This window comes from Homo sapiens, chromosome 7, assembly GCF_000001405.40.
Source record: "Homo sapiens chromosome 7, GRCh38.p14 Primary Assembly".
Lineage (NCBI taxonomy): Eukaryota > Metazoa > Chordata > Mammalia > Primates > Hominidae > Homo > Homo sapiens.
Window position 1 is genome coordinate 65164092 of NC_000007.14, and position 27698 is coordinate 65191789.

At 41.0% G+C, this 27698-nt stretch overlaps 1 pseudogene across 2 annotated transcripts in view; it reads left to right on the forward strand.

Moving 5' to 3' along the window:
• The window catches only part of INTS4P1 (integrator complex subunit 4 pseudogene 1), a 93193-nt pseudogene that overhangs the window by 23062 nt on the left and 42433 nt on the right, over window positions 1-27698 (forward strand). For both annotated transcript variants that reach the window (NR_146906.1, NR_146905.1), the window contains 7 exons: window positions 3658-3729; window positions 6096-6270; window positions 15201-15406; window positions 18883-19025; window positions 21299-21414; window positions 22299-22419; window positions 24889-25046. The product of NR_146906.1 is annotated as an integrator complex subunit 4 pseudogene 1, transcript variant 2 (transcript). The remainder of the gene's footprint in view (window positions 1-3657; window positions 3730-6095; window positions 6271-15200; window positions 15407-18882; window positions 19026-21298; window positions 21415-22298; window positions 22420-24888; window positions 25047-27698) is intronic.

The following is a 27698-nucleotide window of genomic DNA, read 5'->3' on the forward strand; positions in this document are numbered from 1 at the left end:
GTGCCAGGTAACTCTGGTGAGCCATTTTTTTTAAACAAATCTGCATACAGATTGAGTATCCCCTATCCAAAATGCTTGAGACCAGAAGTGTTTTGGATTTTGTTTTGTTTTGTTTTGTTTTTGGATTTTGGAATATTTTATTTGTATTAGACTTACTTGTTGGGCATCCCAAATCTGAAATATGCTCCAAAATCCAAAATCTGAAGTGCTCCAGTGAACATTTCCTTTGAGCATCATGTTGGTACTCAAAAAGTTTTGGATTTTGGAGCATTTTGGATTTCAGATTTTTGGAATTGGGATGTTCAACCTGTATAATCTTTAGATCACCTGTTCAGCAAATCGACAAACACCGAGGACAGTTTCTGTCTGCAACGAAGTTGACAGTCAGGTAGCCAGGGATAGCTAATCAGTGAATAACAATACCTGGTACTGGTAGGAAAGAGCACCAACCACAACCACAGAAGCCTTCTTGGAGGAGCTGATCTCTGAACTGAGTTTTGAAGGATGAGTAACTAGGTAGCAATGCAGAGAAAGAGAAAATATGAGCAGGGATATAAAAGCAGTACATTATCATGCATAGCAATATACTAAGCTGCAATATCATACTAAACTACAAGCAGTCTAGTGCTTTCTAGTTGGGGGGTAATGTTCAATATAGGGGATCTGTAATGAGGTAAGTTGGAGAGGAAAACAGAAGCCAGGTTCTGCAACAACTTAGCTTTGTAGCCTCGAGTCTATCTTGCTTAAAAAGTGAATAGTTTCCAATCCCTTTGGCTTATAGCGTATGAAAAATTTTCTGATATGTGTTATATCAGAAAATTCAAAACCATGTAAAAGAGGTTAGCTTTTACTTATTTATAACTGCCCTCTTTGTGGGGCAAAGAAACTTGAGGTCCCAGTAAGCAGATTCATGGGACTATTTAGAATACAATCACTACTTTTATAAGCCTTAAGAAGTCATTGACCTTGAAAATTACAACATTTTCAGACTGTTAGGTTATAGACTTTTATGCCTGTAAGTCTGCCCATGACTGGTCTTTCCCAGGGTAAATGCAGATATTCCTAGTTAGTGGCAGTTTTATGTCTGATGTACTTATCACCCAGTTGCATAGACTTATGTTATTTATACCAGTTGAGCAGTTTTTGCTCTTCAAGCAGGTGTGATAATTGTTAAATATCTTGTATCTAAATTTCACATACATTTAATAAGGCTCTCAAGTGAAATGGTTTTCTCAGTGTTAAGTAAGGTTTTCATAGCATTAACTACCTAAATTTAGGTTGTTAAGTAGTGCTAGTAGTACAGTTGGAGAGATTCCATCTTAATCTAAACATATTTGTCTTGGTTAAAGTATACCAGAATGTAGCTTTTTTTCTCATTGGTGAGGTGCACTTTATAATGAACTCATTATCTTTTTGGTCCAAATCTGTTTCTCTATGTTTTCGTAAGTGATACTATCATCTGCTAAGTCATGAACCAGAGGAATTTAGGAATAGTTTTTCTATGTCTTACATCCATTGAGTCACAACTCATATCAGTTCTTCCTTCTTGACATCCCCTAAATCCATCCCTTCTCCATTTCCACTGGTCCTGCAGTAATAGACATCTCACCATTTTTCAAGTGGATTACTATGCTATAGGACTCTGTGTCTGTGGACTTAAAATGGAAAGCTTCACCTATTCTTAGGTGACATTGAAAATTTATTTCAAGTAATGATATTTAATTTTGGGGGGCACAAATTTGCATAGTACTCCCTCTGTGCTGCTGTGTTGGTTGAGCGTGCAGCTGAGGGCATTGGAGGAGGGCACTGGGAATTATGGATGAAGCAACTTACTGTGAAGTCATGAAAACTTTTATTCTAGTAGAAAAAAGCCAACAGCTAATGCTGGTGGTAAAAGTAGAGAGAGATTTAGGAGGTCTTAAGCGTTTATAGTTCTTATTTATAAAATTGTTGTTGGGATTTAAAAAATGGATGTTAGATATGACATTGACTCAGATCTGTGTAACAAAAGAAAAAGTGGTTTTGAAACTACTTTAGTCAAAATAGTACAGCAGTTGTTTTTGTGGAATCATAGGAAAGGTGTTAACTTGAGTAAGGACATTCCCCAGGAACATGTCATTTTCTGTGAAAAATTTGGTTAGAGAAAAGATCTGAGCCTGTATAAGCATTTCCGCATTTATTAACTTAGGAATTAGAGAAGATCTCAGATAAATTTCTTAACGTCTAGGACCTGCTCCAACAGCCTCTGAAACTAGTCTTTTTGCTTTCATTTTGATTCCTTATGGTCCATTAGTCATACTGTTGCAAGATGGGCTTTATGAAATATAAATCTATGTTCTCCCTTACTTAAAATGAGTAAGTTGACTAATCTCAGCCTCGTTTGTCATCTAGAAAATGGGGATGAGAGGTATATGGGATTATTGGGAAGAATAAATTGGAAAAATATAAGTAAAATATTTTATACATTGTTAAGCTCATTAGATGTTTAACAGGGATTATGTAATAATTATTTATAAGGCAAACCCCTTACTATGGCAAATAAGGCTCTTTATTATCCTATCTCTACTGCCTCATTTTCAGGAGCCCTATCTTACGTTCCATTCGTAAAACCACTTAATATTTCCCACTTGGCATTTGCACTGTGATTTTCATTTCTCCAAGTATACCTCTCCCTGCCTGTACCTTAATACTGCTTGTTCTCTCCATTCCCGTGTCATCATTCATAGATGTGTATTACAGCATTGCATACCTTGTCAGTTTCCCTTACTAGTCTGTGAGATTGTTGAGTGTACAGCTGTTGTCTTTTTATTTTTGTATTCTTGTTCCTGGTAACTGTAGACATATAATTGAATGGTTGCTAAATATTTGTTTAATTGAATGCATGAATGAATGAACAGATGAATGGAAAGAAGAATGAAAAGGAGTGGAGAGTAGTCGTTAAGGGAAAGGATTTTGGAGGCTGGATTTATCTCCTAGCTCTGGAATTTATTCTTTGTGACCGTCAATATGTTATTTAATCTTTTTGTGTCTTTTCTCCATATATAAAATGGGACTAATATAGTATTTACTTCTCAGGGTTATAGTGAGGATTTAAATGAGTTAATATACGTCTAAAGCCCTTAGAATAGTACATGACACATAGTGGCCGGGCGTGGTGGCTCACGCCTGTAATCCCAGCACTTTGGGAGGCCGAGGCAGGCAGATCACCTGAGGTCAGGAGTTTGAGACTAGCCTGCTCAACGTGGTGAAACCCCGTCTCTACTAAAAATACAAAAAAATTAGCTGGACATGGTGGCGGGCACCTGTAATCCAGCTACTCAGGAGGCTGAGGCAGGAGAATTGCTTGAACCTGGGTGGCGGAGGTTGCAATGAGCTGAGATCATGCCACTGCACTCCAGCCTGGGTGACAAGAGCAAAACTCCATCTCAGGAAGAAAAAAAAGAAGAAAGAAAGCACAGTAGGTGACACATAGTAAGCTCTATTTAGGTGTTAGCTGCTGCTAATATTTTTATTTTCCTGCTGATTCAGAACCCATAGCATCTTTACTGTCATGAATAATATTATCTTTATGCACTTAAATTGGCTATAGACTGAATTTTAAGATAATGTTCAAATCATAAAAGTTGTTTTATATGCTCTGGATTTTTCTTTTTATAGGGCTCTATGGAGCAAGTCAGTTCTCATTTCTTGGAGCAGACCCTTGACAAGAAGCTGATGTCAGATCTGAGGGTACCTTTTATTCTTCGTTGTTTAAACTGGGTTTCTGTAACCAATGTAGGGGGGCAGTATTGTGAGTTGTGTTGATTTAACTTAGCAGCATTTGTTAAATTAACGTATGAGAACTGTATTACATTTTAATTTAAAATCTTAGTAAATTGAAGCAAATAACAAGTGACTTCATTAAATTTCGTATTATTGTAATGAAATACTTTGCACAGGTTATGCTTTACAAAAAAGAGGCAAGATTAATTTTCTAAGCCAGGTGCAGTGGCTCACACCTGTAATCCCAGCACTTTGGGAGGCTGAGGCAGGTAGATCACTTGCGGCCGGGAGTTTGAGACCAGTCCGGCCAACATGATGAACTCCGTCTCAACTAAAAAACAAAAATTAGCTAGGTGTGGTGGCATGTGCCTGTAGTCCCAGCTACTTGGGTGACTGAGGCAGAGAATCACTTGAACCCTGGAGACCAGAGGTTGCAGTGAGCCGAGATCGCACCACTGCACTCCAGCCTAGGCAACAGAGTGGGACTCTGTCTCAAAAAACAAAACCCAAAAAACAACAACAAAAAACCCCCAGAAAACCCCAAAAGATTAATTTTCTATTTGTTAGGAACTACAAAGGCCCATTCTCATTTTGTGAGATGGTATGACATTTTAGGACTCCTTTTCAGCAGCAGTTACCATGGAAGACTGAGTAAAGCCTTTCTCCAAACAGTAACAAAATACCCCCCACCCCACGCCATTTTTTCTTCTTTTTTTTTTGAAACTGGGTCTCACTCTGTTGCCCAGGCTGGAACGCAGTGGCACAATCATTACTCAATGCAACTTTGATCTCCTGGGCTCAAGCATTCCTCCCACCTCACCCTCCTGAGTAGCTGGGACTACAAGCATACCTCACCATGCCCAGCTAATTTTTTTTATCTTTAGTAGAGATGAGGTCTTGCTCTGTTCCTCATGTTGGTCTTGAACTCCTGAGCCCAGGCAGTCTTCTTGCCTCTGCCTCCCAAAGTGCTGGGATTACAGATGTGAGCCATTGTGCCCGGCCCCAAATGCCTCTTATGAAATGCCCTTAAGCTTTGATTGTGATGGTTCACTAACGTGGTTTGCAGAACCAAATTTGAGTCTGAGAAAATAATATGTACATTCATTGTTAGTACCTCAATTTTGAAATTATAAAAGTGATATTATAGAGTTGTAGAATTTTTGATAAGGGAAAGGAAAACAATTTACCCATATGCCTGCTACCCTAATATAATGACTTTGGTCATTTTGGTATATGTCTCTCAGCTCTTTTTCTGGTGCGTGGTTTTTTTGTTTGTTTGTTTGTTTTGTTTTGTTTTGTTTTGTTTTGTTTGAGACAGGGTCTCGCTCTGTCGCCCAGGCTGGAGTGCAGTGGTGCGATCTTGGTTCACTGCAACCTCTGCCTCCTGGGCTCAAGTGATCCTCTCACGTCGGCCTCCTGAGTAGCTGGGACTACAGGTGTGTACCACCACACCCGGCTAATTTTTTGTAGTTTTTTAGAGATGGGGTTTCATGAGAGGCTGATGTATAAAGCAGAGTGCCAGGTCATTCATTTGTGATGAGAACCATAACTGTCAAGTGGACTGGATACACTAACCGGTATATTCCACCTTAGGCAATCTCTGTGTAAAGTGAGTTTACTAGATTATTTAGTGACTGTACTGTAGCTGAAATAGAACGCAATGTTGCCAAATAGAAAAATACTTTTACTGGGACTGAAGATAATTTTTTTTTTTGAGGCAGAGTCTCACTCTGTCGCCAGGCTGGAGTGCAGTGGCATGATCTCGGCTCACTGCAACCTCCACCTCCTGAGTAGCTGGGACTACAGGCACGTGCCACCACGCCCAGCTAATTTTTGTACTTAGAGTAAAGATGGAGTTTCAACATGTTGGCCAGGATGGTCTCAATCTCCTGACCTCATGATCAGCCTGCCTTGGCCTCCCAAAGTGCTGGGATTACAGGTGTGAGCCACCTGCTCCCTGCCCGATAATTGTTTTCTTAGAGTCAATGTATTGTCTACCCAAGATGGTTTTTTGGAGGGGCACTGCCATTATTTGCCTCTCTGGCTCTCTCTTTTCCTATGTTGCTGCCACAGCAAACATAACCAACTTTCTTAACACATTCTTCAGCTATCTTTATCCTCTTTAATTAGGTACTTTCAGCTATTATAGACCAGCAAGGCTTTGGTTTCATTTTAAGTTGAATTTGCATTTCTCTTGTATGAACTACTGATAATTTTTACAAACGTAACTCTCAAAGAGCAGTTTTATTTTCTGCCTTCCCATGTTCTCAGGGTTCATCTTAGTGTTCCTTCATGAACCTCCTACAATTGGTAATTGTTGTTGTCCTCTGCAGAGGAAACGTACTGCACATGAGCGTGCCAAGGAACTTTACAGTTCAGGGGAGTTTTCCAGTGGCAGAAAGTGGGAAGATGATGCTCCCAAGGAAGAAGTAGATACCGGGGCTGTGAACTTGATTGAGTCAGGAGCTTGTGGAGCTTTTGTTCATGGGTTGGAAGATGAGATGTATGGTAAGTATGACTGTATAATAGCAATAGCACTCTTTAAGTGACTGCTGTGTGTCAGGCATTGTACTGGGTGATACACATGTATCGTTTCATTTAGTCCTCACAGTAACTCTGGGAAGTACTTACTATGCTTTTTATTTTACACACAGAAGAGACTGAGGCCCCAGTAGTATGAGACAATGGTAAAGAGCAAGAGATTTGGGTTCAGTCAATCTATATTTAAATTCCAGCATTTTTATAAAACAGGGATAATAATAACTATCTTTCTGAGTTGTGAGAATTAAATGAGGTTCTGTATACATAAAGCACTTGGCATAATACATGTGCCTATTTATAATAAGCACTTAATAATTGGTAATTAAAATTGATATTAATAAAAATAATAACTTGATATTACTTACCCAGCTAGTAAGAGACAGAGCAAGATTTAAACCTAGGTATGTCTGACTGCCAAACCTTTATATGACTGATGAATATTTTATTTCACCTTCATTTTTGAAAGATATTTTTGGGCCAGGCGTGGTGGCTCACACCTGTAATCCCAGCACTTTGGGAGGCTGAGGCTGGAGGATCACTTGAGGCCAGGAGTTCAAGACCAGCCTGGTTAACATGGTGAAACCCTGGATCTACTAAAAATACAAAAAATAGCTGGTATGGTGGCATGCACCTGTAATCTCAACTGCTAGAGAGGCTCAGACACAAGAATCACTTGAACTCAGGAGGCAGAGGTTGCAGTGAGCTGAGATCGTGCCACAGCACTCCAGCCTGGGCAAGCAACAGAGCAAAACTCTGTCTCAAAAAATAAATAAATAAATAAATAAATAAATATAGAAAGATATTTTTGTGGGAATCCAATTCTAGATTAATAAGTTTTTTTTTTCCAAGAGACTTTTTTGTTTTTTGAGACAGGGTCTCACTGTGTCACCCAGGCTAGAGTGTAGTGGTGTGATCACAGCTCACTGAAGCCTTGACTTCCTGGACCCAAGCAATCCTCCCACCTCAGCCTCTCGAGTAGCTGGGACCAGAAGCACATGTCACCATGCCCGGCTAATTTTTTAATTTTTTGCAGAGACAGGGCCTCCCTATATTGTCCAAGCCAGTCTTGAACTCCTGGGCTCAAGTGATCCTTTTGCCTTGGCCTCCTAAAGTGTTGAGATTGCGGGCGTGAGCCACTGTGCGTGGCCTCTACCAGTCTTTTAATGATATTGCTCCATAGTTTTCTGTTGAGAAATCTGCTGTCGTTTTTATCTTCCTCTGTATATAATGTGTCTTTTTATCTCAAGCTGCTTTTAAGATTTCTCTTTATCACTGGTTTTAAACAATTTGATTATGATATGCCTAGGTATAGTATAGTTCATGTCATGTTTCTTTTGTTTGGAGTTTGTTGAGCTTCTTGAATCAAATAGTTTTCATCACAGTTGGAAATTTTTTTTTGCTATTATTTCTTTCTCTCTCTTTTTTTTTCGGGGGGTGTGGCGGGGACAGAGTTTTGCCCAGGCTGAAGTGCAGTGGTGTGATCTTGGCTCACTGCAATCTCTGCATCCTGAGTTCAGGCAATTCTCGTGCTTCAGCCTCCCCAGTAGTTGGGACTGCAGGTGCCCACCACCACTCTCGGCTAATTTCTGTATTTTTAGTAGAGACGGGGTTTTGCCATGTTGCCGAGGCTGGTCTCAAACCCCTGAGCTCAACTTATCTGCGCGCTTCAGCCTCCCAAAGTGCCGGGATTACAGGTGTGAGCCACCATACCCAGCCACTATTATTTTTTTAAATTTCTCTGACTCTACAGGCCCTTTGGCGACTTTCATTACACATGCATTAGGATACTGACATTGTTTTGCAGCTCACTGATGTTCTATTCTTCCTTCCTTCCTTCCTTCCTTTCTTTCTCCAGTTTTTATTTTCTCTTTGTGTTTGATTTTGGATAGTATCTATTGCTTTGTCTTTGAGTGTTGCAAGATATAATCTGATGTTAATCCCACCCAGTATATTTTTCATCTCGGACATGTAGTTTCTGTCTCTAGAAGTTTGATTAGAATTTGGGTTTTTTCCACCCTGGACCACATAAGGAGACCCTATCTCTACAAAAAATTTAAAATTAGCCAGACATGGTTGTGCATTGCCTTTAGTCCCAGCTACTTGGGAGGCTGAGGCAGGAGGATTGCTTGAGCCCAGGAGTTAGAGGTTGCAGGGAGCCATGATCACACAAGTGCACTCCAGTCTGGGTGACAGAGCAAGACCCTGTCTCAAAAAAAAAAGAAGAAAGAGTTTGGGTCTTTTTAGTATCTACCATGTCTTTCTTAACATACTTAATCTTTCCTCTAGCTTTGTCAACAGATAATATGTTTATAATTGTCTTACTATCCTTGTTTACTAGGACTATTATTTCTGTGATTCCTAGGTTGGTTTTGATTGATTTTTTTTCCTCCAGTATTATATATTCATCCTGTGTATATTCCATCCTGTGTCTTTTCATGTCTGATAATTTTTAATTGGATGCCAGACATTATAGATTTCACTTTATTGGATACTGAACATTATTTTATTCCTATAAATATTTTTGAGCTTTGTTCTGGGATCCATTTTTTCAGGTCTTATACTTTGTTAGGCAGGATTAGAGTAGCATTTAGCCTACAGCTTACTTTTCTCCACTAGTGAAGCAAAAAACTCTTCTTTTTCACTACTTGAAGCACAAAACCTCTTCTTTTCTTTTTTCTCTCTCTCTTTTTTTTTTTTTTTTTTTGAGACAGGATCTTGCTCTGTTGCCCAGGCTGGAGTGCCAAGGTACAGTCACGGCTCGCTGCAGCCTTGACCTCCTGGGCTCAAACAACCTTCCCACCTCAGCCTCCTGAGTAACTAGGACCACAGGTGGGCACCACCACACCTGGCTAATTTTTGTATTTTTTGTAGAGATGAGTTTTGCCATGTTGCCCAGGCCAGGCTTGAAGTCCTGGCCTCAAGCAATCCGGCCACCTCGGCCTCCCAGAGTTTTAGGATGACAGACATAAGCCACCACACCTGGCTGCAAAATTCTTCTAAGTTAACTGTGGTTTTATAGGCCCTGTGTGACCTCTGGAGATTGTTTCCTCTCATTGTTTTGAGTGGTTCTTTTCCAGGCCTCAGATGGTCTCTGTCGCACAGATCAGAATTCAGCTGAAGACTTGAGGCGACCATCTGCAGATCTCCCAAGCTCTCTGTCTCTCTGTGTAGTTCTCTCCTTTCCAGAAATTTGCTCTATGAACTCTAGCCACATTGGACTTCCCAAACTCCTAGCTCAATCTTCTCAACTCAGGGAGAGAAGACCTAGTGCCTGGAGTCTCTCTAAACGGAATTGTAATCATTGAGATCACCTCATTTATTTCCCATCTCTCAGGGATTGCAGTCCTTTATTGCCAGATGCCCAGTGTCTGGAATGCTGTTGTTTCATATATTTTGTCTCTGTCTCATCCTTGGAGGATAAAGCCGGTCCTCATTACTCCATCTTGTAATAGACATCCTATAAAGCCCATGTGATTTCCATATGCTGTCTGTCTCACGTACATCTCAGAATTTCAGTGCTTTGAGATGATTGACTCCAGCCTCTTCATTATCAGCAAGGGTAACAGACCTGGTGAGGTAATGTTGATTGTCCACGTTTTACAGTAAATTTGTGCCAGAGACCTGTGCCAGGTCTTAAAAATGCCTATACAATCATACCTCAGGATAGAACTGCTTCTTAGAAGGGCAAGAATATTATTTTTGAAAGAAAGTTTTTCATCAGTAGATGTAAGAATTGGGTTATCCTATCATTTGTTCTAAAATGTTCCATATGTATAGAAAGTAAATCTACCTCTGCTTTTTGATTCTCTATGAACTTAAAATATGAATTACAATTTAAATAATATTGGATAATAAGGAAGTCCAGTTATTAAAACCTATTTTACTCTAAAATGAGTAACTGAAACCTATTTTGTTTCTGTTAGCATTTTTGCTTTGTTTTGTTTCTACAACTGAATTTCATCACTTTTAACATTTATATGATTTAGTTATACAGTTTTCAGTTTGCCATTAAGATTTTTTAAATACTTTTTTTTATACTTTTAAGTTCTGGGGTACATGTGCAGAACGTGCAGGTTTGTTACATAGGTATACACGTGCCATGGTGGTTTGCTGCACCCGTCAACCCATCATCTACGTTAGGTATTTCTCCTAATGCTATCCCTCCCCCAGCCCCCCACCCCCTAACAGGCCCCAGTGTGTGATGCCCCCCACCTGCAGTGTCCATGTGTTCTCATTGTTCACCTCCCACTTATGAGTGAGAACATGCGGTGTTTGGTCTTCTGTTCTTGTGCTAGTTTGCTGAGAATGATGGTTTCCAGCTTCATCCATGTCCTTGCAAATAACATGAACTCATCCTTTTTTATGGCTGCGTGGTATTCCATGGTGTATATGTGCCACGTTTTCTTTATCCAGTCTATCACTGATGGGCCTTTGGGTTGGTTCCAAGTCTTTACTATTGTGAATAGTGCTGCAATAAACATATGTGTGCATGTGTTTTTATAGTAGAATGATTTATAAGGCTTTGGGTATATGCCCAGTAATGGGATTGCTGGGTCAAATGGTATTTCTGGTTCTAGATCCTTGAGGAATCACTACACTGTCTTCCACAATGGCTGAACTAATTTACACTCCCACCAACAGTGTAAAAGTGTTCCTGTTTCTCCACATCTTCTCCAGCATCTGTTGTTTCCTGACTTTTTAATGATTGCCATTCTAACTGGTGTGAGATGGTATCTCACTGTGGTTTTGATTTGCATTTCTCTAATGACCAGTGATGATGAGCTTTTTTTAATATGTTTGTTGGTTGCATAAATGTCTTCTTTTGAGAAATGTCTGTTCGTATCATTTGCCCACTTTTTGATGGGGTCATGGTTTTTTTCTTTTTTGTGTGTGTGAATTTAAGTTCCTTGTAGATTCTGGATATTAGCTCTTTGTCAGATGGATAGGTTACAAAAATTTTCTCCCATTGTGTAGGTTGCCTGTTCACTCTGATGATAGTTTCTTTTGCTGTGCAGAAGCTCTTTAGTTTAATTAGATCCCAGTTGTCAATTTTGGCTTCGTTGCCGTTGCTTTTGGTGTTTTAGTCATGAAGTCTTTGCCAATGCCTGTGTCCTGAATGGTATTGCCTAGATTTTCTTCTAGGGTTTTTATGGTTTTAGGTCTTACATTTAAGCCTTTAATCCATCTTGAGTTAATTTTTGTATAAAGTATAAGGAAGGGATCCAGTTTCAGTTTTCTGCATATGGCTAGCCAGTTTTCCTAACACCATTTATTAAATAGAGAATCCTTTCCCTGTTGGTTGTTTTTGTCAGGTTTGTCAAAGATCAGATGGTTGTAGATGTGTGGTGTTATTTCTGAGGGCTCTGTTCTGTTCCATTGGTCTATATATCTGTTTTGGTACCAGTACTATGCTGTTTTGGTTACTGTAGCCTTGTAGTATAGTTTGAAGTCAGGTAGCGTGAGGCCTCCAGCTTTGTTCTTTTTGCTTAGAATTGTCTTGGCTATGTGGGCCCTTTTTTGGTTCCATACTAGTATATATATTTAAGGGGTACATGAGATGTTTTGATACAGGCATGAAATATGAAATAATCACATCATATAGATAGGTATCCATCTCCTCAAGGATTTATCCTTCGTGTTGCAAATGTTATTAAGATGTAATCAAATTAACTTAAGTTTAAAAAGTGAGTATACCATAACCAGGTATCAGGTATGACAGCTTTCTAATTTTATCACATTTATACAATTCTGGGAAAATTTGGGTTTTAGGGGTGCATTGCTGGGAATGAAATGGAGCCTTATTTCGCTGGCTGTTCACTCTAGTGTAGTGCCTCACATACTTCTAGTCTTCTAATTTATCCATCTTCTCTCTCCTTTTTGGGACTTTGTGCATGCAGCTTTTCTTCTAGAAAGGCCTTTTTCTTTCTTTTGGCTTAGCAGCTCTTTTAGTTATTGTTTTTAGGGATCACGTATTACAGAAAGCCACCTCTGATCCCATTGATTGGGCTATATTTCTTCATATGCATTTTCTTACATTCCCTGTGCTTTTCTTTTTTTTTTTTTTTTGAGACGGAGTCTCGCTCTGTCGCCCAGGCTGGAGTGCAGTGGGGCGATCTCGGCTCACTGCAAACTCCGCCTCCCGGGTTCACACCATTCTCCTGCCTCAGCCTCCCAAGTAGCTGGGACTACAGGCGCCCGCCACTACGCCCGGCTAATTTTTTGTATTTTTAGTAGAGATGGGGTTTCACCGTTTTAGCCGGGATGGTCTCCATCTCCTGACCTCGTGATCCTCCCGCCTCGGCCTCCCAAAGTGCTGGGATTACAGGCGTGAGCCACCGCGCCCGGCCTCCCTGTGCTTTTCCATGGCAACAGTCATCACTCTGTAATGCAATTAACTGTTCTTATTTGTAAGCCTGGGGGATAGTCTTGCTTTTGTTCATCTTTGTGTCTTTAGTACTAAGTACAAACCTAATAGGTAGCTAAGTCTGGACCCAATTATACATGTGCAGATGCTGAGGATCAGTCTTTTTTAAAATATAGTATAGTAGATTCCTTTTCTCTGCTCTGTACCCATGGGGAATCTGTGACATATTATTTATTTATTTTTAATTAACTTTTTTTATAGAGATGGGGTCTCACTATGTTGCCCAGGCTGGTGTTGAACTCCTGGGCTCAAGTGATCCTCCTGCCTTGGCCTCTCAAAGTGCTGGGATTACAGGCGTGACATGCCTGGCCGACATATCTTCAACATTCCAAAAAGTTCAGTGGAAAATGTCAATTTTCTTGCTTATAGTCTGGCCGTTCAGGCAAAGTAAAATACCACATTTCTTTGCTTCTGCTTGGAACTGTATCAGCTGAGGTCACACTGATTATCTCTTTCCGATCAGAAATTCCTTCCTGATTGCCTTGGTGGACTTGCAAACGTTACATATGAGTCAGTGTGGTGTAATGGTTAAAATTCTAGGAGGAAGAGCCAGCACTTAACATGTTTGGGTTTATCTCTAGCTTGCCTTATAATTAGCAATTTCATGTTGAAATTATATTATTGTGAAGTGAAGAAAATTGTTCTCTTCTGATGAAAAGGAGGAATTCATAACTACCAAGAAAAACCTGAATCATCTGTCTTTACTGTAGTAACTCTACTTTTAACATGTCTATAAAACCTTTCTTTATACAAAGAGGAAATTGTGTTTGTGAGTTTTAACCACAACTTTAGGTACTTATTGTTTTGTTTGTTTTGGAATAGTCCATTTTGTTACAGAAGCATATGGGAATCACTAGAAAAAAACAACCATGTATAGAAGTCTTGTGAGCATTTTCTGTGTCTTACTCATTTCTCATCTTTGTATCCTAGCCCTTAGTACTGCACCTAGCATATAGTATGTGTTCAGGACCCATTTATTAGTGAATGAAGAAAGGGCTTCCTCGGATCAGTGGCTTTATTGTTTACATGTTCTGAGCATGCCAAGGGGTGGAAAACATGCCTCTGTTTTCAGGGTGCTTACAGAACCCAAACCTATACCCTAGGTGATACTTACTGAGCCCTTAAAATATGCCAGGCAGAGTCCCTATGTGCTTTACCTGTATTATCTCATTTAGTCCTAACAACTCTGTAAGGAAATGAGTATTATGTCCATTTACCAGGTGAGAAATTTGAGGTGCCAGGAAGTTGAGTTACTTATTCAAGATCACCCTCCAACTTAGTGGAGGGATCATTCACTACAGTGTGCTCTGAGACCTCTATCATTCCAAGCATGTATCCTTAACCACTATATGATTTTAGCCTACAATCAACAGACCTGAGTATTGGTCCTATTCCTGCCCTCATTCACTTTGAGGCAAGTTAATCCACGTTGCTGAATCTTACCTGTAAAATTCGAACAATGATATTTAGTCTACTTTAATCTTAATAATAATGATAACATTATTTACTAACTGACTTTCTAAAAAGTACTGTGGTCGGAATACTGAGATAAGTAAGACAACTTAATTTTCAAGAAGTTAATGTAGACAGACATGTAGACAGACTCATCACATATATGTGGAGTCAGATTTAAGCCATAGTCCTTGTGATACTAAAGTCCATGTTCTTAGATCGACGTTAAGGTGGGTGGTATGTGAAACTGTGGGCATAGAGATCTCCCAGGGAGAGTTTATAGAATGAGAGGAGTAGAGAATAGAAGACAGCCTGAAGGAGAATGAATCCATCTTGGACTTTTCCCATGGCTCTTAATTTGATATGAGTTACTTTATATATATATAAAATATGGGGCTTCAGTGTGTTGCTCAGGCCGGCCTTGAACTCCTGAGCTCAAATGATCCTCCCACCTCAGCTTCCCGAGTAGCTGGGACTTTGGTGTATGGCACTGCACCTGGCTGATGTGCAGTTTTTGTTTTTTTTGTTTTTGGAGTTTTTTTTTTTTTTGAGACAGGGGCCCAGTCTGTCACCAGGACGGAGTGTAGTGGCACAATCATGGCTCACTGCAGCCTCAAACTCCTGGGCACAAGTGATCTTCCTGCCTCAGCCTCCCAAGTAGATGGGACTATAGGCGTGCGCCACCACACTTGGCTAATTTGTTTTTTGTGTGTTTTGTTTTGAGATAGGGTCTCGTTCTGTCACCAGGCTGGAGTGCAGTGGCACGACCTTGGCTAACTGTAATTTCTGCCTCCCAGGTTGAAGTGATCCTCCCATCTCAGCCTCCCAAGTAGCTGAGAGAACAGGCGCACACTACCACAGCCAGCTAATTTTTTAATATTTTTGGTAGAAACAGAGTTTTACCACATTGCATAGGCGGGCTCAAGTGGTCTGCCTACCTTGGCCTCCCAAAGTGTTGGGATTACAGGCATGAGCCACTGTGCCCAGCCTGATGTGCAATTTCATTTGTTCTTTTTTCTAGAGGTTCGTATTGCTGCTGTGGAGGCCCTCTGCATGTTGGCCCAGTCTTCACCCTCTTTTGCTGAGAAGTGCCTTGATTTCCTAGTTGACATGTTCAACGATGAAATTGAGGAAGTACGTCTGCAGTCCATACATACCATGAGAAAAATCTCTAACAACATCACCCTCCGAGAAGATCAGCTTGACACTGTCCTGGCTGTGCTAGAGGTGAGTGTTCCTAATTTGTTACTCATTTCTTCATCCCTCACCCCCCCCCCCCCCGTTAAAATCAGGTATTGGTGACAGAACAGTATATCGGGCAGCACAGTTCTGTTTTCTCACCATACCCCTCCCCTAAGATGGAAGAAATTGACTGTGAAACAGGAAATTTGAATAAGCTTGGTCTTTCTGTGATCAAGAAAGGATAGGATGCCTAGGGAATACATAGTGTCTAACCTGAATTGGCTGAGGTGAGGTTGGGAAGAAGGAGGAAGTGCTGTAGTGGACACTTGAAGGAGGAATAGGACTTAACTGGGCTTTTTTTTTTCCTTCTTCTTTTGAGACAGGGTCTCACTCTGTCACTCAAGCTGAAGTGCATCTTTTTTAAAGGAGAAGTGACACCGGTGGTAGGATGAAAGGGTACCAGACAGAGGGAACAATGTCTAAAGATGCAGAGATAAGACAGAATATGATAATTCAAGGAACTAAAAAGAGTTTATTATAATGATAGCGTAGAGTTGAAGAGATGGAAGAGTGGAAGAAGTGGCTATAGATAAGGTAGGGGCTAAATAATGAAGAGTTCTTTTCAACCTTTAATTTGATTTTATTCTTGTAGTGAATCATAGGCTGTTACAGCAGCAAGTGCTCTTAGGGATTGATTCATTCTACCCTGGGAATTTTATAGAGAAAAAATAAGTTGTCTGAGTTAGTGGCTGAACCAAAATGTAAACACAGAGTTGCTTCCCAGGCCGTACAGCTCTAGGTAGTTCTTGTATTATTTTTCTAAAATGTCTGGATTTTAATTGCAACTACTCAAGTTCTTCAGAGTATTCATAAATGGGGTTTGTCCTCTGGTTTCCTTTTTGGGGAAGATGGGGTTCAGATGTGAAAGGGATAGTAATTAGGTGCTTAGTTTTTAGAACACTTGTAACAGATTTCTACTGCATACTTTAAAGAATAGCTGGTGCTTTGGTTTTGAAGGTCCCTACCATTCTCTCAGCTGCTTAGCACTTCTACTAAGATTTTTCCTGAATTATAAATCTTTATAATTTTTTCATGTATTTTTTCCTAAAAATAAGTTTACATTCTATGTGTGGTTCTTCATAGGTGGCCTCATACATAGCCTAGCCACTCCTTTCCTTTTTAGCTTTCTTTTCCACCATTCCTCACCTTGAACTTTATGCTGAAGTCACTTTCCTACACATATGGCTTTTCCTCACAATTTTACCTTCAATGTAATTTCCCCCTCAGTTTGCAAAACTGCCACTTTAACCCAGGAGACGTCCACTTATTCCCACAGCCTATATTAGGTAACATATCCAGGAAGCCTTCCCTAACTGTTACTCCCAGCCCTGGGTGGGCTAAATGCCACCACTCTATTCCCATAGCACTCTGTGTATACTGCTCTAGCATTTTTCAGTAATTCTCTATTTCATAAGACTGTGAGCTCCTCAAGGTGTCTTGACTTTTCTTTTCTCTTTTGTTTTCCTTTCCTTTCCTTTTTCTTTTCCTTTTTCCTTTCCTTTCCTTTTTTTTTTGTTTTTTGTTTGTTTGTTTGTTTTTTGCTTTTTGAGGCTGAGTCTCGCTCTGTTCCCCAGGCTGGATTGCAGTGTCGCGATCTTGGCTTACTGCAACCTTCACCTCCTGGGTTCAAGCAATTCTCCTGCCTCAGTCTCCTGAGTAGCTGGGATTACAGGCACGCACTACAATACTAATTTTTATATATTTTTTTTAGTAGAGATGATGTTTCACCATATTGGCCAGGCTGGTCTCGAACTCCTGACCTCAAGTGATCCACCCACCTTGGCCTCCCAAAGTGCTGGGATTATGGTGTGAGCCACCGTGCCCAGCTGACTCTTCATTTTTTTATTACCAATGTCTTGCAGCAGTGTCTGGCACAATTAGGTGCTCGGCAAGTGTTTGCTGAGTAGCTGAGCTATGTTCCAAGCTATGTTTTGATGTACAGAATTGTTCACAGGTATGCTTATTTGTGAGTACTTATGTATATAACTCACAAAGAATCCTTGCTTTTTAATTCTTTTCAGGAGTTCAGACCCATATAAACTTACAGTAGACTATTCTTCCACCCTGCTGTGCACTGCTCCCTTATATTTTCTGTGTCACTGTGCTTCATTGCTTTGAGCCTTACCTTGCTGACCCTTCCAGGTGGAATTTGCCTTTTTTTTTTTTCCTGCTATGTCAAGATCCTACCCTGCCTAGAAAAACTCACTTCTTTATTCAACAAGCACTGTCTATGTATTAGAAATATAGGGATATCAAAACAGACAGGATCCCTGCTGTCATAAAACTTATATTCTAAAGAGAGGTGGAGTAAACAAACAAAATGATTTCAGATGGTGATAAATGTTTTGCAGAAGATAAACAGTATGATGGAGGAATGGGGAATTTCTCTGTAATTTGAGTGGTTAGTAAAGACTTTCTGAGGAGATGATGTTCAAGTTGAGTCTTGAATGGTAAACAGAAGCTAGCTATGTGAAGACTGGGAGAATAACTTCAGGTAGAGGCAACAGCTAGTGGGAAGGCTCTAAAATACAAGTGAGCTTTGTTGTGTTTGCAGAATAGAGAGAAAGCCAGTAGGAGTGAACCACAGTGAGAAAGTAGAAATGTGGCATGAAATGAAGTCTGAGAGGGGATTAGGGAGAGGTGGAGAGCCTTGTAGGCCATTTTAAGATGTCTGGATTTTATTCTAACATTATGGAAAACTGTTGCAGAATTTTATGGATAGGAGTGACATTTCGATTTGCCTCTCTTTTAATATTTCTCATTCTTGAAATCTTGAAATTCACTTCAGATAGATCGACTTTTCCCTCACTCCTCCATTTAGCACATACAGGTATACCTCTCTTTATTGGGCTTTGCAGATATTGTATTTTTTTAATAAATTGAGAGATTGCGGCAACCATGCATTGAGCAAGTCTATCAGTGCCATTTTTCCAATAGCATGTGCTCACTTTATGTCTGTGTCACATTTTGGTAATTCTTGCAATATTTCAAACTTTTTCATTATTACATCTGTTACAGTGATCTGTGATCCGTGATCTTTGATGTTACTGTTGTAATTGTTTTGGGATGCCACAAACTGTGCCTGTATAAGATGGCAAACTTAATAAGTGTGTGTGTTCTGAGTGTTCTGCTAACTGGCCATTCCCAGCCTCTCTCTTAGCCTTTCTTCTTAGCCTGTCCTTTTTCCTAGTTGCAAAAAGGCTCTTGTACCTTCAGCATCATGATTGAGTTCCAGATAGGATGGAAAAGGAAGGTTAAAGAAGAAAGGGGATAAAGCTACTGCCTCTGGTCCTTTATCAATAAAATGAAAGATATTTCAGGAATTTCAGCCAAAAAACTTCCACATACTTTGTTACATGGCCACCCCAGATGGGAAGGTGGCTGGGGAGAAGGGGATGGTAGATAGAGGCTGAGTCTGCTAACCAACAGTAACTACTATTATTATTACTTTTTTTTAAAAGGATTCATCCAGAGATATTCGAGAGGCTCTTCATGAACTCTTATGCTGTACTAATGTTTCAACCAAAGAAGGGATTCATCTTGCATTGGTGGAGCTGCTGAAAAATTTAACCAAGTACCCTACTGATAGGGACTCCATATGGAAGTAATGACTTTTTTGCCCATTTACTCACTGAGTCGCATAATGTGGTAAATGTACGATGCTGACATTTGTTCCGTCCTTATAGATTGAGGGTAGTACGGCCCTGAATTTTGCCTTTACTTTAGAAACCTGATTGAACTTAACCGCTCTCAGGAATCTGATTCCTAAGCTGAATATCACATTTTAGATTACTTACTAATTTGTGCATCTATCCACCTAGCAAATATTATGTGCCTGCTGTGTGCTGACTACGCACCAACCCTTGTGGTAGCTGTTACAAGTATAGAAATAAATTAATTAGATTTCCTCTTTCTCCTATATAGTGTTTTGTTTTGTTACTTTTTTTTTTGAGATGGAGTCTCGCTCTGTCACCCTGACTAGAATGCAGTGGCGTGATCTCAGCTCACTGCAACTTCCGCCTCCTGGGTTCAAGCGATTCTCCTGCCTCAGCCTCTCGAGTAACTGGGATTATAGGTGCACGCCACCATACCCAACTATTTTTTGTTTTTTTTTTTTTTTAGTAGAGATGGGGTTTTACCATGTTGGTTAGGCTGGTCTTGAACTCCTGACCTCAGGTGATCCACCTGCCCTGGCCTCCCAAAGTGCTGGGATTACAGGCATGAGCCACTGTGCCCGGCCTTATTATTTTTTATTCATTAAGTTCTGGTTTAGAAGGTGCACTTAATTGGCTGGGTGCAGTGGCTCACGCCTATAATCCCGGCACTTTGGGAGGCTGGGGCGGGTGGATCACCTGAGGTCAGGAGTTCAAGACCAGCCTGGCCAACATGGTGAAACCTCATCTCTACTAAAAATGCAAAAATCTGCTGGGCGTAGTGGCACGTGCCTGTAATCCCAGCTACTCGGGAGGCAAAGGCAGGAGAATCGCTTGAACCCTGGAAGCAGAGGTTGCAGTGAGCCGAGATTGTGCCACTGCATGCCAGCCTGGGCAACAGAGCAAGACTCAGTCTCAAAAAAAAAAAAAACCATAAACAATAATAAAAATATATAATTACCTTGCTTGTATAGTTCCTTATAGTTTATAAAGGGCCCTCAGGTAGTTATAATAGCTAACATTGAGTTCTTACTATGTGACAGACACTTCGCTGAGTACTTTATGTTAGTTATTTAATGCATATAGCAACTCTATGAAGTAATGACTTTTAATCTCATTTTGTAGATGAAAAAATTTACTTGCATAAGGCTACTTAGTTTCAGACAGATCTGTGATTTCAGGACTTCACCCAGGATATCAATTAGAATGTTTTTGCCCACAAGTAAAAAAGACAATCTGATTAAAAATATCTTAGCCAATAAGTCTGTTTTTTCATAACGAGGTCAGAAGGTTGGTTTCAGGATTGGTCATTCAACAGGTTACCAGGGCTCTCTTTGGTTTCTCTGCAGTTCTCTTGGCTCTTTTTTTTTTTTTTTTTTTTGAGACAGAGTCTCTCTTTATCGCCAGGGTGGAGTGCATTGGCATAATATCGGCTCACTGAACCTCCGCCTCCCAGGTTCAAGCGATTCTCCTGCCTCAGCCTCCCGAGTAGCTGGGACTACAGGCCCGTGCCGCCATGCCCAGCTAATTTTTGTATTTTTAGCAGAGATGGGGTTTCACCATGTTGGCCAGGATGGTCTTGATCTTTGACCTCCTGATCCAGCCATCTTGGCCTCACAAAGTGTTGGGATTATAGGCATGAGGCACCGCACCCGGCCGGCTTTCTTCTCATGGTTGTAAGATGGCTGCCTCATAAGATAATATCTCAAGACAGAAAGGAAGGGTCATTCCCTTTCATGCATTGCTCTTTTGATTTGCAAAAACATCCCTGAGAAGCTCCCCAGCCAGCATAGTCTCGTGCTCCATTGTCTAGAACTGGCTTACTTGCGTACCAGCAAACCAGTCACTGGAAAATGGGAATGGGATTGCCATGATGGGTTTAGACCAATAGTGGTTCAGCTCTTGGGCTGGACCTGCCTTTTCCGAGCACTTTGCTGCCTGCCTGATACCTGAGTAAAATCAGGGCTCTCTCAGGAAGAAAGATGGGGGAAATGGCTGTTGGTTAAATAAACAGTTCTTTTATCTTTATAATAACCAGTTTTTTTAGATGAATTAACCAAGTTCCAGAATAACTGGGTGACTTATCTGAAGTCATAGAGTTAGCAAAAGTATATGGTTGAGAATTTCCAATTCCAGTTCAGGTTTTCTGATTCCAGTTCCTAGTACTTTTCAAAGGACTAACTTTACTAATTTGTTGATGTGCATTCTTATTTGTTTGTTTCAGGTGCTTGAAGTTTCTGGGAAGTCGGCATCCAACCCTGGTGCTTCCCTTGGTGCCAGAGCTTCTGAGCACCCACCCATTTTTTGACACAGCTGAACCAGACATGGATGATCCAGCTTGTATCCTCTGTGCTTAGGATGGGCCCTGATGTGTTGGCAGGCAGCTTTGGCATCTCCTTCTGCAGTGTAGCTAGGGTGGTCTGAGTTTTCTTTTCTTTGCTTTTCTTTCCTTTTTTTTTTTTTGAAGACAGAGTCTCATTCTGTCACCCAGGCTGGAGTGCAGTGGCCTGATCTCGGCTCACTGAAACCTCTGCCTCCCGGGTTCAAGCAATTCTCCAGCCTCAGCCTCCTGAGTAGCTGGGATTATAGGTGCCCGCTACCACACCCAGCTAATTTTTGTATTTTTAGTAGAGACAGGGTATCACCATGTTGGCCAGGCTGGTCTCAAATTCCTAACCTGTTGCTTGGGCTGGAGTGCAGTGGCACCACCCCAGCTCACTGCAACCTCCGCCTCCCAGATTCAAATGATTCTCCTGCCTCAGCCTCCCAAGTAGCTGGGATTACAGGTGCCTGCCACCACTCCCGGCTAATTTTTGTATTTTTAGTAGAGACGGGGTTTTACCTTGTTGCCCAGGCTGGTCTCAAACTCCTGACCTCAACTGATCCACCCGCCTCAGCCTCCCAAAGTGTTGGTATTACAGGCGTGAGCCACCATGCCTGGCCAGTATGTACTTTGATAGGCTAGGCAATATAGTTGCTTACTTTATAGGCAAAATCATTTCCATTTTCTTGTATTCTTGGCAGTCTCTGGCATTTTTAAAAACCTTTGGTAATTGGGGGTGTGGGTGGAGTAGGGGAATGTATTTTGTTGTTTGTATTTGCATTTCTTTGATTATTAGAAAATCATAGTCTCTTGATGGAGATTTTGGAGGTGGAAAGTGAGAGTGCCAGAATCTGGCCAACCTTTTATACTTCCAAGTTTACTTAACCCAGTGATCTATCAGATATTGCAGTTTTGGTACTTATTTTCAATGCTGCTAAAACCTGTCCAACAATGCGAGCATTGTTCTCAGGCACTATGCCTACCTCCGAGACAGTCTTTCTCATCTTGTTCCTGCCTTGAGGGTATGTTGAAAACATCTGTTGTCCTTGTTTTTATTTTGCACGGGGTAGGGGTATTTGTGTTCATGTTTTCCTTTGAGATGGGGGTCTTGTTATGTTGCCCAGAGGGGTCTCAAACTCCTGGGCTTAAGCCATCCTCCTGGCTCAGCCTCCCAAGTCGCTGTGATTACAGGTGAGCACCACTGTGTGCAGCTTGTTTTTGGCTTTTTATTTTTTGTGCTTTGTGGTTATTAAATAGTAGAAAGCAGTCCATATATTCTCTGAAAACTTGTTTGTTCATTCTCCTTCTCTCTTGGGCTCTTTGCCATTGTTTTATACTTTTGCTTTTGTATCCTTTACCTTTTAAGATGATTCATTTTTTTTGGTGTCCCTGGATTATTGATATTAGGCAAGAAGAAAGGAACCTGGAACAATAGATTATATTTTAGATCAAGAATTTAAATTGTTATATATATATATATTTTTTTTATTATTATTACCTTTTGAGACGAAGTCTCGCTGTGTCACCCAGGCTGAAGTGCAGTGGCGCGATCTCGGCTCACTGCAAGCTCTGCCTCCCAGGTTCACTCCATTCTCCTGCCTCAGCCTCCCGAGTAGCTGGGACTACAGGCACCTGCCACCACACCCGGCTAATTTTTTGTATTTTTTAGTAGAGACGGGGTTTCGCCGTGTTAGCCAGGATGGTCTTGATCTCCTGACCTCGTGATCTGCCTGCCTCGGCCTCCCAAAGTGCTGGGATTACAGGTGTGAGCCACCACACCCAGCCTAAATTGTTATATTTTAACTATTACATATAGCCATGATTCTCCACAAGTGCTTATTTTTTTTTTTTTTTTTTTTTTTGAGACGTAGTCTCGCTCTGTCGCCCAGGCTGGAGTGCAGTGGCGGGATCTCGGCTCACTGCAAGCTCCGCCTCCCGGGTTCACGCCATTCTCCTGCCTCAGCCTCCCAAGTAGCTGGGACTACAGGCGCCCGCCACTACGCCCGGCTAATTTTTTGTATTTTTAGTAGAGACGGGGTTTCACCGTTTTAGCCGGGATGGTCTCGATCTCCTGACCTCGTGATCCACCCGCCTCGGCCTCCCAAAGTGCTGGGATTACAGGCGTGAGCCACCGCGCCCGGCCCACAAGTGCTTATTTTTTAAAAATAAAACCTTTACTATTTTTAAAACCTAGAGATATAAAGAAGAAAATTTAAAAATGGATCATAATAATAATAGCAAAGACTTTGTGAATGCTGTGGCCCAGGTACTCTTCCAATCTCTCTATTTGCATTAACTCATCCCTGCTTGGGTGACTCCAAATCACTTTATTTGGAGTAATATACAAAATGAGGCCAGGTGCGGTGGCTCATGCCTGTAATCTAAGCATTTTGGGAGGCTGAGGCGGGTGGATCATCTGAGGACAGGAGTTCACGACCAGCCTGGCCAACATGGTGAAACCTCATCTCTACTAAAAATACAAAAATTAACTGGACATGGTGTTGGGCACCTGTAGTCCCAGCTACTCGGGAAGCTGTGGCAAGAGAATTGCTTGAACCCAGGAGGCAGAGGTTGCAATGAGCCAAGGTTGTGCCACTGCACTCCAGCCTGAGCGACAGAGTGAGACTCCATCTCAAAAAAAAACAAAAAACAAGTAGATACAAAATGAAAAATGAAATACTCTTTGCTCTCTCCTCCCCATCCATCTTAAAAGGTAACCACTTTTAACAGTAAGAATAAGTATATCTGAAGGGCTAGGCCAAAAATAAAAAAAAATTATTCTCATGAAAAAATTGTATGCTATATAAGTTTATTTGGGAATAAATCATTACTCTTCCTTCAAGTGAAAGATAAGATAGTGTTTTAAAGATAAATGTGGCCGGGTGCAGTGGCTCACGCCTGTAATCCCAGCAGTCTGGGTGGCTGAGGCAGGCGGATCACCTGTGGTCAGGAGTTCGAGACCAGCCTGACCAACATGGAGAAACCCTGTCTCTACTAAAAATACAAAATTAGCTGGGTCTGGGGGCGGCCACCTCTAATCCCAGCTACTCAGGAGGCTGAGGCAAGAGAATCGCTTGAACCTGGGAGGTGGAGTTTGCAGTGAGCCGAGATGGTACCATTGCACTCTAGGCAACAAGAGTGAAACTCTGTCTAAAAAAAAAAAGATGTAGCAACAGTTTAATTTTTAGTCTCCTTCCTATGGTTGGCCCATTTATTTCAGTTAACAATAGAAAATATTATACCTTTTCTGTTTTTCTCCTGGCAGCTGTGGCTGTATTGGGTAGACCATGTTTGCATTTTGTCTCTTTCTCTTTAACTCCCAATTGTTGCTGAGGAAGGGGAGAAATGTTATTTATAGAATCTCCTAGCCTTTTTTCCCCTTTGTTTTGTTTAGCTCACATTTTTAATGTGCTTTTATGTGTTTGTGTGTGTGTTACCAAAAGCTGAGCCACCAAACTTAATGACTCTATAATCCCACTGTGTTTGCTTAGTTGCCAGGTAGAAAACTGGTGTCATCAGCTGTTTCTCCCAGCATCATACCTCAAGAGGATCCTTCGCAGCAGCTCCTGCAGCAGAGCCTTGAAGGAGTGTGTAGTCTTCAGCACTTGGACCCTCAGGGAGCCCAGGAGCTGCTGGAATTCACCATCAGGTAGGGTAATCATCCCTTCATCTGACAGAGTTAGTGCCGTTACACTCAGCTTGACTGTTCTGAATTCTGGTGTTGGTTACTAGGCTTGATATTCTGACTCTATTGGTCTACATTCACACACGGTTTTATGGTCTGTTTATATTTGGATTAGATTGTGGTTTGAACATATTTTTTAAAAGAGCTCTTTATATTCATGACTCGATTGATGATTAGTACACAACAGAAATAGTTACAAAGAACCTGTTTTTAGTTTTTTAATTTTATATATTAGGATGAGTGACCAAAATGCAAAGTAACAGTGGCTAAAACAGGAGCAAAGTTTAATTCTTCCTCATAGGCAGGACAGGGCTGAGATGACCATCAAGGATCTAGGCTTGCTCATTCTTTTTTTTTTTTTTTTGAGACAGGGTCTCACCCTGTCACCCAGGCTGGAGTGCAGTGGCATAATATCAGCTCACTGCAACTGCAGCCTCCTGGGCTCAAGTGATTCTCCCACTTCAGCCTCCCAAGTAGCTGGGACCACAGGCATATGCCACCACACCCGGCTAATTTTGGCTTTTTTTTTTTTTTTGTAGAGTTGAGGTTTCACCATGGTGGCCAGGCCAGTCTCAAACTCCTGAGCTCAAGTGATCCTCCCGCCTCGGCCTCCCAAAGTGCTGGAATTACAGGCGTGAGCCACTGTGCCCGGCCTAGGCTCATTCTTTCTTGTGTCTTCATCTTCTGCATCAAGCAGCTCTGCTTAACAATTCAGAATCTAACTGTCCCCCCTGTATTCCATCCTGTGGGGAAAAGGAAACGGGGAGAGAAAGGTATCATCTCCACCCTGTGGTTTGTTTAAAGACACTTCCCAAAAGTTGTACACTCTAATTTTACTTGCATTCCATTGACTAGAACTTAAGTCACATGGCCATCTCTCACTTCAAGGAGCGAGGACATGCAGTCTTTATTCTGGGTGACTAATGCCTGGTTTACATGCGATGACTCTAATACTCAGGAAGAATGGGAGAAAGATATTGGGGAACAACCAAAAGGCTCTGCCAGACCTTCCTCAAAATGGCCTGAATGATATGAAAAGAATTTAAACTCATTTGCTTTTAGCAAAAGCAGTATTGTTTGCTCTTAAAAGATTAAAAAATCATGTATTTTAAGAGCAAACAGTACTGCTTTTGCTAAAAGCAAATGAGTTTAAATTCTTTATTGTTTGCTCTTAAAAGAGAAAAATATTATATCGGCCAGGTGCAGTGGCTCATGCCTGTAATCCCAGCACTTTGGGAGACCGAGGCGGGAGGATCACTTGAGGCTAGGAGTTCAAGACCAGCCCCACTGAGTGAAACCCCGTCTCTACTAAAAATAGTAGCCTGTAATCCCAGCTACTTGGGAGATTGAGGCACAAGAATCGCTTGAACTCGGGAGGCGGAGCTTGCAGTGAGCCAAGATCACGCCACTGTACTCCAGTCTGGGCAACAGAGTGAGACTCCATCTCAAAACAAAAAAGAAAGAAAGAAAAATATTATATTATATCATTTGTATCTTGGTTGAGATCTCTTTTGATCTGCCCGGAAGAGTATTTGGCACCAGCCACATTCAACTAATAATTTTTAGTGGATGATTTCATTCCATACACTAAGAAACAAGCTCTGTGCTAGATACAGATCAGCTAGCTAGGATTCTGCCCTTAGAGAGCCCATGTAGACAAGATGGATATAGACAAAGACTTATGATGGTGGATAACAGCGCTTTGTACTTTGTTCATGCTTTCCTGTCCATTATTGCATCTTAACATGTTATAAAGCTGGCCAACTGAACCATCCTCCAAGTTATGTTTTCCCATTACATTAGGTCATTCATTCACTTAGCAGCATTAACTATTTGTTTATTCTAATAAGCCAGTTGCTGAGGGTAGAGAGAAATAAGAAATGACATTTGTTCTTAAGGTACTCACTGTTTATTACAGGACGCAGAAATCATCAATTTGATAAATGATACAGTGAAGAGAAGCATAGATGCTGTGGAAAAACAGATGAAAGGCCCTGACCCATCACAGTAGTAGTGGTGAGGGATGCTTCACAAAGGAGAAGATCCTTTAGCTAGTATGAAATGATAACTGAGCATGTCAGTTTCGTAGTCCATATGCAGAAGAGAATTCCAACTTCAGCAGACATTAGAAGAGCTGGGAGACCTGAGGGAGAACAGCCTCCCAGAACTGCAGTGGTGTAGTATAGAGATTGAGTGAATGGAGCTTTGAAGGCAGACTCATTTTGGTTAACGTCTGAGCTAATACAGTCATGCACTAAATAACAACGTTGTGGTGGTCCCATGATTATATTTTTACTGTACCTTTTTTATGTTTAGATATACAGATATTTACCATTGTTTACCATATTTACCAATATTTACCATTGTAACCAGTGTTACAGTTGCCTACAGTCTTTAGTACAGTAACATGCTGTACAGATTTGTAGCCTAGGAGCAACAGACTATCCCATATAGCCTAGGTGTGTAGTAGGCTATACCATTTGGATTTGTGTAAATATACTCTATGATGTTTGTGAGACAAAATCACATAACAGCGTATGTCTCAGAATGTATCTCCATCGTTAAACAACGCATGACTTGTAGTTGTTTGATCTTAGTCAAGTTTATTGCTCAGGG